At 41.8% G+C, this 15954-nt stretch overlaps 1 long non-coding RNA gene across 1 annotated transcript; it reads left to right on the plus strand.

Moving 5' to 3' along the window:
* Positions 1-1607: 1607 nt before the first annotated feature.
* On the plus strand, positions 1608-15638 carry LINC02358 (long intergenic non-protein coding RNA 2358). Its single transcript, XR_001741510.1, has 2 exons — positions 1608-1733; positions 14943-15638. It is a non-coding gene; the product is annotated as a long intergenic non-protein coding RNA 2358 (long non-coding RNA).
* Positions 15639-15954: the final 316 nt, after the last annotated feature.

A 15954-nucleotide genomic window follows, 5' to 3' on the forward strand; every position in this document is an offset into this window, starting at 1 on the left:
AAGCTCACCCAAAATACTCTGATTCCTTGATGTAAGAAAAGATCAACAAGAGCTCCATTCAAAGCACATTTTTGACCAAAGGGTTAATTTTTTTTTAATTTAGAAGTTATTTCAGAAAACTTATTCTATAGAATTTGAGAAAGTTAATTTTGAACTCTGAGAAAGCAGAGCCTTCATTTATTGTCTGCTTGCTTCTAAAATGGTTCTGCCAAAAGTTTTGCATACAAACACACTGTGAAGAGATAATAGTGATACAAGTCATGCAGCCAAGAATCACTGGGGGAAATGCAAATCCGCTGGCTTTTCAGCTCAGAGGCAGCAAATGCTGAAGTCATCTCATATTCACCCGAGGCCCTCAGATCTGCACATCGATATATGAAATTGGAGGCTAATATGCAGATATTGATTTCTCTAAAGGGGAGTGTCAATATTTACAGTCCCAAGAGGTGGCAACTGACTGAAGCAAAACCAAAGTTGTGATGGCGACTGCCAAGGTCACGGCCGAACCATAACCCTGCTCTTCACAAGACAGGTCAGTGCCTCCACCCCCAAATAGTGCCAGATGATTTAGAGGGAAGGTGAAATTTTCATCTGGTCCCCTAGACATGACCAGTCCATCACTTCATATCCAGGTGTTGTAAAACTCCAGACGACTGACTAGATGTCCTCCATCACATAAACTTAGTCAAATTAAAATCATCTTGGGCAAGGGGGGCTTTTTCAAATTAATTGTTCAGGACAACTCTTCCCAAAATTGTGATGCTACTATAGCAGTGCATGCCCCTTAGAAATATTGACATAATTTTCTAAGGAAACAGCAGTGATCCCTAACCCTGGCTGCTCATTAGAATCTACCTCCAGAGATTCAGAGTTAACTGATCTGTGCCAGGGTGCAGGCATCTGTAGTTTTTAGGAGTGCCCTTAGCGAGTCTAATGGGAGCTAGTGTCGAGGACCACTGGTCTACAGGTTCTCCACCTCCCTTTCCCATTTCATCCCTGCTTCTCCACTAGCTACACCTCATATCCGAGTCTTATGTTTGCACTTACCTACTTTTTATGTTTGTGTATCTTTGCTCAAGTCATGTCTCTTGTGAGAAATTATCCACCCATATCGGGGTACTTATTCTTCCTTATATGAACCATTCTCTGAGTAGGTCCCAACTCGAATCACCTTAGAATTTTCCCACTTCTCCATGCCTCCAGCAAGCCATGCATCACACCAGGGCAGTTTCAAGTGGACAGACCTGTTTCTCCTGGAAGTGGGTGGGCTCCTTGAGGTGAGAGACCATGCCTTGCTTCCCTGGGTGCCTAAAGCATGCCCACCCAGCTTAGTGCAAGTCACAGTAGCCACTCTATCAATACTGGTTGCAAAGATGGATGAAAATGCAGGTTCATGTTTGGTATCAGGACCTTTTAGAAATCAGGGAAGACTAGAATCATTTGTATATTTGAGGGTAGTCAGATTTTTTTTTTAAGTAAAAAAAAATCCCAATTTTAAATTTGAGGTTCTTGGCGCATATGAGACCAGGGTCAAATGTCCCCCAGAACCCTCTCTTTATGATGTCGTCTTTGGATACCATCAGGATAACTCAGATTGGTTCAGCCCCAAGTGCCCCCAGTTACCTCGGTAACACATAGAATATAACTTTGTCCCCTAATGGGAAAGAATGTCAGATTTCTATGCCAACCAGAAGATGGATGGATGTCAAGACAGATGGTGGAAAAGTTGTGAGGTAGACTATTTATATTGGGTGGGGGGTTCTTCCTTTTATTTCAAGACATGCCCCCACTTCAAATTCCTCTTTTTAAATTTTTTATGTAACTCATTATTGAGTGCAAAATTTTTACCACATGAATCTGCATCGACATAATATTTATCTTGTATACAAAAAGCAATGAAACAGAGCAGCAGGGTCAAAACAATGTCAGCATCAAAACTTTCAGGATTAATATCTGTGGACTGAAGAACATTCCAGAGACAACAGTGGTGCCTTGTTTGAAAAACTGCTGCATCACCAACACTGTTGATGGTAAAGAAGATAACTGTGTGAAAAATCACAGATTTTAACAAAGCATTTTAGAAAAGTTATACCCTAGGTGAAGAAGTTTTAGGAATGCCTTCACTCATGTATTTCGCTTATGATTTCCTTTTTGTGTATGCACAAAAGCTAAAGTAAAAAGTCATAGCCATGGTTCTTATTTAATTTACTATGTTTATTCTTACTTCATGATACATAAAATAGTGGTGTCTTTATTAGTTTGCCAGGGATGCCGTAAGAAAGTATCACAGATTGGGTGGCTTAAACACCACAGATGTATTTTCTCTCAGTTGTAGAGGCTGGAAATCTGAAATGAAGGTATTGGTAGGGTTTCTTCTGAGGTCATAGTTTGTAGATGGCCATTTTCTTTCTGTGTCCTCACGTTGTCTTCCCTTTTTGTGTGTCTGTGTCCTAATCGTCTTTTTTTTTTTTTTTTTTTTTTGGGATAGGTTCTCAGTCTGTCACCCAGGCTGGAAAGGATCCTCTCACCTCATCCTCCCGAATAGCTAAGACTACAGACAGGTGCCACCACGCCCAGTCAATTTTTGTATATTTTGTAGAAACAGGGTTTTGCCATGTTGTCCAGGCTGGTCTCAAACTCCTGGGCTCAAGTCATCCACCAGCCTCAGTCTCCCAAATTGTTGGTATTACAGGCATAAGCCACTGCACCCTGCCCTAATCTCCTCTTCTTATAAGGACACTTGTCATATTGGACTAAGGCCCACCCCCCCGTCCTCATTTTCACTTCATGACCCCTTTAAAGACCCTATCTCCAAATATCGTCTTGTTTTAAACTAGGAATTGGGACTTCACATATGAATTTTAAGGGAACACAATTCTGGCCATAACAGTGGCCTTACAATTGATGGCTTCTTACTTTCAGTGAAATTTAAAGTATATACTTCAGAAGATTGTAATTATATTAAATGAGTGTCTGCAGCTGGAATGCACTCCCTGATCCTTAGCTGTTTATCATTACCTGTTTCATAGGGTGGTTGAAGGGACTAAATAAGATAGCACTTCCGAAGTCCTTAGCACAGAACCAAGTATATAGTGAGTGCTCAATGAATGTTGGCTACTATGATCATTATTAATTTGGAAGCATTTTCATATGAGTAAGAAGTTACTGAGAAAAAAAAAATCACAGTACTCTCTTAAAATAGGTAGTGATCTTTTTAAAAAATCTTAGAATTTGATGATGACTTTGAAAACCCTAGTGTACAATCAAGAAAGCACTAAGTTGGCAGCCACGATTCAGGCATAATGCTTACAAGATTACTTTAATGTACAAAAGTGTTTTGTAATTACCTAATTGTCTGGCACCACTTCAAGTCCTATTTTTTAACCCCTTTAAGCCAGGCCAGAAACATTGCCAGTGAGTGTGACACAGTGATGCAAAATGCATTAAGCTTTTACAGCAGAGCCTCAAGACCCCCAATGGCATCAAGAGATTAATAATTGGAGTAAGAAAGATAGATGTATTTTATGAATAATTCAGTCTATCATTAGAAATTAGAAACTTGAGAGCCTTGCTACATGGGAGAGTAAACAGAAGCTTGCCTTAATGGGTTATAATTTTAAAATGAGGAAGACTTTGCCAATTGTCACTAACGTAAGCTTCAAGCACACTTCTCAATGAAAAGAAACTCCCTAGAAATGAGGTCACCCACTGGGGTCAAGTTCAAGATAAAGAGATGAATACTTTCCTGCTCTGGTTTACCAACTGCTTCTTTGTCATCTTGAATAAAATAATTAACCGCTTTATAAGTAAACCTGTGAAGTTTTAAAGCCACACACATGTTTTATCTCTAAACCAGGCATCCTTCACCAAGCCATACCATCAGATTGCTTCTTCCATCCTCAACACCCAGAGTTTTTCATGGAGTCCACCTTTATTAAAATTTCCCAACCAACCCTGGAGCTTTCTAATACTGTCAACAAAAGAAAACTAGTCATGGTAGTCCTAGGAAGAGTTTGTACATTTTGCGCCTGGCTTTAGGTGTGTAAAACTCCCATCTTTGCCTTCAAACTCAAAGGAGTCACTCAAATGATGGACATTTCCATTCAAGCCTGAGGGAAGGATTTTGTTAAGAAAATACTGTATAAGTCTGTACATTTCCATCTATTAAAAACAGGGTATGGATCGGTGGCAGAGACAAAGCTGTGTGCTCACTAAACCCATTTCACGCTCTTCCTGGGAACATAGCAAAGCCACTCTTCCCAGTCTCCCTGTGCAGTCACTGGGGCCTTGTTATGAGTTCCAGCCAACTTAACGCATAACACTCTCAGGTCTAGACCTAAAGCTCCCAGAGTCATCCTGTCCTCTCTCAGCTACCATCTTCCACCTGGATAATATGCAAGCTTGGAGACAAGAATGCTCCGGGCAACCTCCAGAGACAAGTACTGAAAATGGCAGAAGCACTGTTTGGAAGGAGCCTGGATCCTGAAGGTCTGCAGAGTGCATACTCTCCACCTTTACTGACCATATCACTTTGTCACATATGGGAGAAAGTCACTTTGACTGTGGTTAAGCCACTGAGATGTAGTGGTTGCTTTTTTACAGAAGCTAGCTGTGTTTACCTTGAATACTATAGGTATTGATTTTCCTGATAGGACTAATATAAGGATTAATTTATTTGTTCGCTTTTTAATTTATTCAACAAGTATCGTTTCAAATCCACTACACAAGAGTCAGGCTGCTAGACACCAGTTCATGAAGTAGAGTCAACTGTGATTCAGAGCTTGGACTTTGGAATCAAAATAGGGGTTCGGATCCTGCCTCTGTCACTTACCAGCTATGTAACTTTGAACATGTTACTTAATTTCTCTGTGCTTCAGTTTTTTCACCTGTAAAATAGGGGTAATAACACTATCTACCTCATGGGGTTGTTGTCCTAAGAATTAAATGAACTAATTAATGCATGCAAACTACTTTGTTCCTTATCCAGTGTATATCTCAATGAAACTTGATATTATTGCAGAGTCAATTATTGCAAATCTCCAATTTTCTAAATTCAACATAAAATGAGCTGTTATTAGTAGTCAAATTTATAAGTACATCGTACTTGTGTAGCCAAGAAACTCAAATCCAGTGATAACCCTTGAAGGGACTGAAGGAATGTGATCACCAAGGCAGGTTCCCAGCACCTGCTCTCCTTTGGATAAATAGGCATGCGCTCTGGCAGTGCATGCCAGAATATCTCATTTTAGTTAAGCAAAAGTATAAAGTTACTGGTGAGTTTATTTGAAGATTTGGAAGAAGAAGAAGAAGATAGAAAATGAAAATTAGAGGAGGTTTTCCTTACTTCAGGTTGCTGACACAAACATTTCCTTGGTTCTCTGGAGGCTTTTCCAGTGGGGTTGGCCCATTAAATAAATATATGTTTCTTTTTGCTTTTAGAAAATCCAGTAATGCAAACTCTTATGTTTATTTAATATTTTCCTATTTGTTTTCCTAGCCAAAATAATGTCTGCTGGGCAGGCAATTCCTTGAGAAGATCCAGTATACCCTGTCCTGACACAGAGTCAAGAGTTTTCAGGAAGAAAATACAAAATGCCATTTTAGAGAAAGAATTAGATGGGCTGGTATTCAGAGAGTCCATTAACCTGGAGTAATAGCAAAACACACACACACAAAACAAAATAAAACTCTGGATAAATTGGCATTGAAAGACTCCAGGCCCAGAAAATACCTTTTAAAAACGTTTATAATATATATACTTCTCTGGGCCCTTTGTTCTGATTTCAATTGTCAGTAGCTAAAGAAAGTGAACTTTTATGATGTGAATTAAGGAACTGGAGAAAATGGGAGATTACGTTAAAACAAAAAGCTGGTGACTTGCTTTGGGAGAGAAGTAAAACCCAAACCAGGTTACAAATAAGCCCTCCTTGACTATGCACAATGCCCATGGGTTGTACCAAAAAAGACAGTTTGAGCAAAGATCTCAGGGCATTAAAAATGGGAAGGCTGCAACTTCCTAAAAAGCAAACCAGGCAGGTAGCTTAATCTATTTTCCATTACGAACTGAAAAGATTGCATTGTCCCAAGCACCAAAAAAGGTCAGTGTGAACTTTAAAACTTCCATTTTATTTGTTCAGCACTTTGCATAGGACAGAGCCATTTGTGAGCAAGAAAAACAATTTTGTGACTAGAACCTCAAAAAGTCGGAGGAAGATAGAAGCAGCCTCTTCTTGGCACTGCCCAGGATGTGACCAGATAGGTCAGCAGCTTTCTGTGCCTTTGTCCTCCAGTACTGTGCGTAGAAAAGGGTCTGGGCCAGGAGTGGTGCCACGCGCCTATAGTCCCAGTTACTCAGGAGGTTGAGGCAGGAGAATTGCTTGAATCCAGGAGGCGGAGGCTGCAGTGAGCCGGGACAGCGCCACTGCACTCCAGCCTGGGCGACGGAGCGAGACTCTGAGACTCAGTCTCAAAAAAAAAAGAAAAAGAAAAGAAAAGAAAAGAAAAGAAAAGGGCTTGGGAACCAGCTGCCCCCTGTGGGATTAGATCCTGCAATTTCTGAAAAGTTTTTTGAACATTCTTGATTAAGGCGAACTAATCATGTTTACTTTTCAGTGGTCTTTCACTTTAAACAGAGTGTTTTCTACTTTTGAAGAAAGAAACTCTGTCTACCATTTGAAGTCAGAAAATGAGCTTAACAAACTGAGTTAAGGGGTTACCTTTTGAAACCAGTTTTCATTCAGATTGGGCCCAGCATTTCCGTAGCAGCCCAGGACCCCCAGGAGAAAGGAACAGCTCTGTTTTCATTTCATTCTCTCATGTCCACATTCCACCATAGTTGTGACTCTCTGGAGTTGTCTTTGGGGAATTTAGGACTGATCAAGACCTTAAAAAGGCTATACAGCAACAGGAAACTCCAGAACAAATCCTTCCCAAGGAGAACTTTCCAAGCCTGGAAATAGCTCCTTCTCAACCTGACTACCTAACCACCACTATTGGCTGTTAGTGGAACTTCAACCCCAAGTTAGAAATTTGGTACCAGATCAGTTCTGTGTGTTTCATATATCACCTCAATTTAATCTTCACAATAACCCTAATAATAAATAATAAATATATGAGGCAAAACAATAATAAATATATGAGGCAGAATGATTATTATCCAATTCTATAGGTGAGGAAGCTGAGGCCCAGAGAAGTTGGGTAACTTACCCCAAGTCATACTGCTAGTCAGTGGCAAAGCTAGTATTCAAATGCAGAGAGCATGACCACAAAGCGTATGAACTTAGCCACTAACTATATTACCTCTCCTAACATCTGAAATCTTTAAGAGAAGAAAGAAGGTATCTCTGACATTGAAAATGCAGGCAAATTGATGGGGAGATTTTTTTTTTTAAGCAGAGTAGCACTCCTAGCACTCTTTATTTCACACTTTGCAGGGGCTCATCCATTCCTGTAAGACTCTCCTTGGTGACATCCACAGGACTGCTGAGCTTCAAGTAGTTTCTACTGGGTCTCACAGTACACTTCCCTAGGACATCATTATCCTGGCAGATCAAGTACCATGGGAGGAAGCTGCTCTCAGTCCCTCCAACCAAATAAGCTATTCACATTTTCCAAGATCCCTGATTATGTGCCTGAATAGAAAATTTGGTTTCTGATTAATAAGCATCCTTGCCTTTATGCTTCTACAAAAAGCGTTTGTGCTAATAATGTGATGCTTAATAATGAGATGTCTGTCACAGGAAGGGAAATGGCAATGGGGAAACAATGATGTTGGGCCGAGTTTAAATGTCATGCTTTTAAAAAAACCTTCACCCCAAAGAGTCACACCGAAGTCACTTATGTGTGCTAAAGGTGTTGCAAAGCAGAGATGGTTTTTTTCTTTCCTGTTTCATTGGTGATTTCAGGGTGCTTTTGCACTTTTCAGAAGGGTCCTGGATCTGGAAGTGTCTAAGCATCAGGCTGGCAGAGCTTGGCAGAGTGACATTCCTGCCAAGTTCAGGACAAATCTATTTCTCCCTCTGTTACCATTAGAACCTTCATCTCTACATTTAGGACATGACACGTGCCAAACTGCCCAATTACTCCTTGCCTGTCATTAAAGTGTGCAGCTAAACACTGGGTTTGAGAATACATCATCGCAACTGTCTAAACACAAGCCCAAGTGTATTCAAGAGCCCCAGAGAGGATCAGGGTACAGGACTAAAACAATTCAAATGGGCCAACATTCAAAATGTCATATACAGTCATGCACAAAAAAAGGTTGTGCCTGTGGAGAAAACTGAATTGACATCCATAAAGCATAAAGGCATGAGTTTTGTGTTTTCTGAGCTTCTGGGAGGGCCCGCCCTCCTCTGCCTTGCCTGCATGGCTCATTGCCTGTGAGGGAACAGTGAGAAAGGCTTTGTTTTGAAAGAAGCCTGGCCAGATAGATGACACTAGCCAAGTACCCTGGCAGTCCTGTAAACCAGCTTGATTCCAGTCAAATCAGAGGGGACTGATAGAAATAGGAGGAGAGTGCTGGAGGGGGCAACTGGTTAGTATAAAAAATAAAAATAGCCATTTTGACTAAATTATATTGGAGAATCTAAAATATAGAACCACTGCGAAGAGTAACCTAGCCTATCTGGTCAGCATAGGTTAAGTTATGACACAGTAATAAGCAACTCTAGATTTGTGGTGGCTGAACCCGACAAAGGCAGATTTCCCAAAATACTCGTTGTTCATCACTATTCAGTAGAGAGGCTTCACTCATCATGCCCCTCATAGATCCAGGCTGATGGAACAGCCACCATCTCCAATACCATGCTTTCCTTTTCCAGAGGGAAAGAAAGCCCTGTAGGGTCTCAAAGTAGCAACTAAATGATCTGGCCTGGAAGTGATGTCATCTCATCTGCTCAAGATTCATTGGCCAGAATTAGTCACATGGCCCCAGCAACCACAAGAGGGCCATGGCGTGTACTGCCATCTACCATTAATGACTACCACAGCCATCCTAGGTCACATCTCTAAGCAGCAAAGTTGGAGTCATAACTTTGCACGGTCTATGACTAACACAAAAGCAGGGGCTCACAGGCCTTTGGCCCAGCCTAGCTATAGAGTTAATCTAGGGGCCTCTGAGGATGGGGAGAGGCCCTTGAGAATGGGTTGCTTTCCACAGCCTAGAACTCTAGCTTTGGTCAGATACCCCATTCTTACTCCTGAAGAGGTCAGAATCCCTAGCTTAGTCCTACAATAATTGATCCCTTGCTTATCTTTGTGGAGTCCCCCAGATTGGGGAAAATTTGAAAACATATTGAATCCTTTGGACTCTTCCTGGCCCAGGTGCTCCTGCCTTCTTGGTAGGAGAAAAACAGATCCCCGGAGCAGGGGCTGTAGGGAACTATTTTCTGACATTGGTTCCAATCCAGAATTCCTGCAAGAGGTCTGTGATAGCTGCAGTATCTGTAAACTGCTAAAGAATACACCTTCCCAGATGTGTATTGCTATTTTTAGAATGCATGCAGCAATTGTGATCCATAAAATATACATTCGATTTTAAAAAGGTACTGAGTTCATTTTATCATTGCACATTTTCTCAATCTGCAGCTCCTCAAAGCAATTTTTAGCATAATTTGGGAGGGGAGTGAGGAGTGGTGGTGGTCTGCCAGATTTTGTTTTGTTTTGTTTTTTGACATTATAAAGATATAAAGAAGACCTTGTACTGTTGGAAATCTCTGCTCCCTGAATTAAAACTGATTTACATAGCGCCATTACCATATTACAGTATTCTGTATTTGCCTATATATTTATTTTATCAGTGGCTTTTATGCTTTCGCATGCTTTCATATTGCTTAGCATCCTTTTGTTTAACTTGAAGAGCTTCCCTTAGCAATTTTTATAAGGTTGGTCTAGTAATGATGAAGTCCCTCAGCTTTTGCTTATCTCAGAAAATCTTTATCACTCCCTTATATTTGAAGGACAGTTTTGCTGGGCAGGTTAGCTGCATAGGGTGCTTTGTGAGGGTCTTTTTTCTAGGCTTCTCAGACCTTTTTGGTGAAATTTCTGGACAACTAATAGCAATATGTAAACATTTCAGTGGTTGCTTTTGAAGCTGATATTTGTCTTCTGAGAGAATTATCCCATTGAGAGTGGGATAAGGCAGGAGGATAAGTAGCATCTTGAGAATACCAGACTAAAGCTTCGTATAAATAGAACCACTGCCTGCTGGGAGGTCAGTGCAGGTAACATTTGGTCAAGGGGCATCAACAGAAGTACTAAATCAACAATTAGGGAGCTGGAATAGAGGGGATTATACACACAAACCCTCCAGCGCCCATTGCAATAACTAAATGGCTGGCATCACTTATTTCAGGTGGGTCAGAGTAATCTGCCCAAAGTTGTAAGTGGAGTGAAGGGCAGGTGAAGGTCAGGATTATAGCAATATTCCAGCCCATGATTTTCTGTCATGTTAGCACAAAAGATAAACCCAACTGTCTGGCCACTTTCATTTGTGGGTAGTTTATCACACAAGCTATGTCAAATAAACCAAGCCTCCTGCACCCATCACCGCCCCACCGTATATGGGGCCAAGGAAAGTTTTATGTCCTGAAGGCCACTATTTGTGACCTAGACCCAAGGGAGCCCCCCTGCTCTGAACCTTGCTTTGAACCCTGCCTCATAAGGGGTCACCAGTGTGACTTCATAGCCAGTAAGGCCAAGGACATGACTTCTTGTGTTACTCTGAGTCCCCATGTGTCTTTGTAATAAGTTCACATCAGTTAGTTTGTGACTCTTACTTTTGACTCTCTCCTTAGAGGTCTATCACCATTATTCATTTGCATGATGGCAGTTCTTTTTTCTTAATGGTATACAATGAGCAAAAACCAGAATAGAAATTCCACCTTTGGCCGGGTGCAGTAGCTCCCACCTGTAAACCCAGCACTTTGGGAGGTCAAGGCAGGCAGACCACTTTAGGCTGGGAGTTCAAGACCAGCTTGGGCAGCATGGCGAAACCCTGTCTCTACTGAAAATACAAAAATTAACCTGGCATGGTGGTGCATGCTTGTAATCCTAGCTACTCAAGAGGCTGAGGTATGTGAATCACTTGAACCTGAGATACAGAATTTGCAGTGAGCTGAGATCGCACCACTGCACTCCAGCCTGGGTGACAGAGCGAGACTCCTGTCTCCAAAAAAAAAAAAAAAAGAAGAAGAAGAAGAAGAAAAGAAGAACAGAGAAAGAAAGAAAGAAAGAGTCCCTCCTTTGTGTCTCAGTCCTTCTTATTTAAGCAGTTTCCAGCCAAAACCCCAAGGTGGTTGTCCTAAGCTCCCCTCTCAAGGCTAGGAAAGAGAAAAAGGGAGATGGGGTTGGTCTGCAGCTAATAGGCATGGGAAACAGGAAGTCAAAGGCATTATTTGGTGAAAAGAGAGACTTGGAGGAAAGCTGCAATCCAAAGCACCACATACACGGGGGGCTGGCAGGCTCCCAATCCCAAGAGAAGCACCTGCAATCTGCCAGACGATGGTAGCGAGGATTCTGAGAGCCGAATGTGGAGAAATTACTCCAGCATTGATTCACAGAGCCCAGCTCCTCTTATGAGGCTTCCGGGTGCAGCTGTGGGTGGAGAAGGAACTGGTGAAGGAGAAAATGTTTGGACTTTACTTTCTGTGTTTAGTGTAAACCCAAGGGCCCCTTGGAGTCCAAAAATTATTGGAGAGTAAAAGAGCACTGGCAGCCGTGGGGATTGCAGCCAGTCTTTGCTCAGCAGGCTGTCTTCCAGTAAGATTAGGATCACAGAGCTCATCAGCCAAAACCCATCTCTGAATGTCCAGGGTGAATGGTGTGCACACACAGAAATAATCTATTGCCTTGGCCCTGGGGGACAATCCCGCGGCCAGACCCGGGTTGAGGTCAGGGCCTGCAGGCTGCCTGAGAAAGCTAATAGGACACCATGAGCTAATGGAGTGAACCCAGATAAAAAGAAAGGGCTTAGGAGGGACAGAAGAACCGCAGAGCATCTCCTTGCTAATGAAACTCCTTGAGACATGCAGAAGCAAGAAAGTTTTGGGGGGAGCAAGAATCTGCATTCTTAACAGCTCCCAAAGTGATTCCACTGCAGGTGGTGCCACAAGCCACATTTTGGTAGACGGCAGGTTTCAGAGGACGGACACGTGGCATCCTGTTGACATAGGAAGCATACTTTTCAATTTTCAAATGTTTTTGTAAATCTCCAGGAGATAGCAGTTTGCTGAGTTGGCAAATGGGCAGCACTTGGGCAGATAATGGGCTGAGCTTGTGGGGCCAGGGGCCAGCCTGCTGTAATCTTCCAGGCCTCTACATTCTCTTCTCAGGCACGATGGCAAGACCAAAGGGAACAGTAAAAAGGTTCTTTGGGGGACAGGGAGATAGCTGGGAGTCCTGTGCCAAGGGTATTGTGTACCGGCCTCCCGTGCGAGTAGGGCCCTGCACACAGACACAACCACAGGTAGTCATGGCAACTTTTGTGTCTAGGACGTGTGCATGCCAGCTTGCTTACTCTCTTGTGCAGATTTGCCCTTGGCCTTACTGAATGTAAATCTGTGAAATGAAGATCAAAGGTATCTTCGTACAAGGACCTGGTCCTCTGCCTCAGGGTCTCACCTTCATCTTGTCATGAAGCCTGCATCCTGAGTCTATGATCTCAATGTTTCTGAAACTGGAGTCTGAGTAATTTTTAGAAACCCTAGACATTCTTTATTTGGGGTTTTATCTTAATGATAATCGTAAAACAGAAGTTTTACCAGTTATAAAGACAAGAGTTTTCTTTTGGAGTAGCAATTCCCATTTGGAAGTCCTCTTCCATCAAATAAAATTTGATTTTTTTTTAAGTCAGTGTCTCTCTAGCTGTGGTCTTCAAGAGAATAGCAGATCTTTCTGTACATTCTCAGTGATCTATGTGAATGGTCTTTTTCTTTCCTCTCTTAAAAGTGGAAAACAATGTTTTCTTTGCAATGTGACAATAGTTTAGATACAAGACCCAGAAGTGAAATTCTATTTGGCTTTGTAATGACTTTGGGTGGAAAATCTCCAAAGATGAACTATGTCTTGTGCCAATTCATTTGAACTGAATTCAATCCAACAAGTATTTATGGAACTGTGGTCTTGATGCTACGGCAGGCACAAGGGAATAGAGAGTGCTAAGGATCCTGGTCCTCTTGGGGGAGAATTATTGTACAAGGATCTATGGGAGCATTCTCCCTGGAGGAGGCAGAAAAAGCTTCTCAGAAGGATGAGCTCACCAGAATGACTGGGGGAGAGAGAGAGAGAGAGAGAGAGAGAAGCAACAGCAGCATGGGCAAAGGCATGGCACTGCCAGTAGTCTACCATGACTGGAATATAAGGTTGGAGGGTAGATGGCCTGGGAAGGTAGAGAAATAGTCAAGAACCATGTGTGCTGTGCTTAGGAGCTTCAGCTTGTTGGCAGAAAAATGGGGCCACTGTTTGGGGTTATAATGCCTTTCTGAAATCTCTGCCTCTGTATGTCTTCATCACCCTCTCTTGATTGAAAAGCCTGAACTCTCTCAAGGGCCATTTTTTATTGGTCTCACACTCCTAGGTATAAAGAGGTAAAAAATACTGTCATCTTAGCAATCAGTCCAGAGTTCCAATTAGGAAAAGACATGTCTTTGTGTGAAAAATAATATGTTGATAAGAACTCAAGGTAGATTCCAAATACCTGAGAATTCAAGGTTTTAAACATCAGAAGAAGGGAAATCATTTTGCGTAGTTGGAGAGAAAGAATTTGGGGTTTTGGTGGGGATTTCAGTGGAAAAGGGAGTTGCTAAGAAGGGAGGGGAAAGGGATATGGAATATGGTGGAGGGATGTCTCCCAACTCAACAGTCAGGGAAGTCTTTAAAATTCATAAATGCTGTGTGCAAGTCATGTTTCTGTCATAGGATATTGAGGACAGGTTTGAATTTTAGGGCAGACTTGAACTGGGGTATAGAATGGAAGCTGCAAAGCAGAATGTGTTGTAGCACCTGAGGTGGCCCTGAAAACATAAGCTCCTGGGAAGTGCAGCTACTTTGGAAAGGGCTTTGCATTCCCTGGGCTATGGTTTTGGACTAGATCTTGAGGGTTTGACAGAGAATTTTATGTGTCAACTTGGCTAGGCTATGATGCCCAGTTGTTTGGTCAAACATAAATCTGGATGTTTCCATGAAGATTAATTTTAGATGTGATTAACATTTATAATCAGTAGGCTTTGAGTAAAGCAGATTACCCTCCATTATTGAGTAGGCATCATCCAATCAGCTGAAAGCCTTAAGAGCGAGCAAGTACGCGCATGCACACACACACACACACACACACACAGAGAGAGAGAGAGAGAGAGAGAGAGAACTGAGTTGCTGAAGAAAAGGCAATTCTGCCTCCCAACTTCAAAAGAGAAACGCTGCCTGAGTTTTTTGACTGCTGCCCTGCCCTGCAGATTTTGGACTCAAGACTGCAACATTGACTCTTACCTGAATTTCTGGACTACCAGCTCACCCTACGGATTTCAGACTTGCCAGTCCCCACAATTATGTCAGCTGATTTAAAATAAAAATATCGATAGATAGATGATAGATAGATAGATAGATAGATAGATAGATAGATAGATATAGATAGATAGATAATGGTATCCTACTGGTTCTGTTTCTCCAGAGAATCCTGAGTGACATTGTTCTATAGTAGATATTTCCAGGTTCCGGGGAGGAGTAAGCCTTTTCTCACGATTTGAGAAAATGCCCAAAGGAAAGGGATTCAAACATGTCTCTTCCTTGGCTCGTTAGGATGTAAGTGCTCTGTGGCAGACACTGCTAGATCCCAACCCTAAAGCTGTTTTCTCTTATTCCTTCCTTACTAAAATAACTCTAATTTGGCTGGCACATTTCTTCACTGATTTGCCCTTCCCTCTCTCCCGTTCTTCCTGTCTGGAATATAGATGCAAAGCCTCATGGTACAGCAGTCACCTTGCAATCATGAAGATAAAAGCCACAAAGAATGGTAGCTCAGAAGGTGGAAGGACTCTGCATAGTTGAAGACACTATGATTAGATGTATCAGCCCTGGACTTAAGTACCTCTGCTTTTCTTAATAGGAGAAAAATAACCCTCTTCCTTCCTTATGCCAATCTTCTCGAGTTCCTTGCTACTTGCAGCTGAGTCCACTCTTGACTGATATCACCTAATCTCAGTCGCTATCAGATTAAACAACAGCATTACTTTCAGAGGGCCACCAAGAAAAAATTGCCTGGGAGAAGAGTAAGGAGCCTGAAGATCTGACTAACTTTCTCTGTAGCCCTTTACCGAATAGCAGATTAGCTGAGCTCATATGATCGTATCAACTAGTCATCACCTTGATTAGAACACAGAAGAAGTAAGTGTTCGTGGATTCAAACTGAAGAGTCGGATGGAGGAGTGTCAAGGACCTGTCATCATAAGGAGGCAGAAAGTGAGAGGGTATCTTTAACTATAAGTGATGGTTTTATAAAGTAGATGCACAGTTTTAGAAAGTAGGAAACCCACTACAAATGAAGTGTCTGAACATATAGTCCAGAAGGTGTCTGGTTTAAACAAAAAAGAAATTACTACTTAGGGGCATGAACAGCACCCTATCTATAAATAAAGACTGCCATCATATCTGTTTTCTCCTACACTTGCCCTTCATGTTTTTCTCCTTATTCACTCAATCATTCATTCATTCCACAAAGATTTATTAAGCATATAGGCACTAGGGACACAAAGATGAATAAGACAAAGTTCATGCCATTCAAAAGGAAAAATTGGGTGGAAAAACAGAATTGTGAGCAGATAAATAACCAAATTTGTTTAAGTGCTATAGAAAAGATAAGAATAATAAGTCATGAACCACAGACTGTGCCCAGAGGACTTAGGAATGACCCCATAGCATAGAAGACATCTGGAGCTGAACTTTGAAGTTTAAATAGGATTTTCC

The sequence above is a fragment of the Homo sapiens genome, chromosome 4 (genome assembly GCF_000001405.40).
Source record: "Homo sapiens chromosome 4, GRCh38.p14 Primary Assembly".
Taxonomy (NCBI): domain Eukaryota; kingdom Metazoa; phylum Chordata; class Mammalia; order Primates; family Hominidae; genus Homo; species Homo sapiens.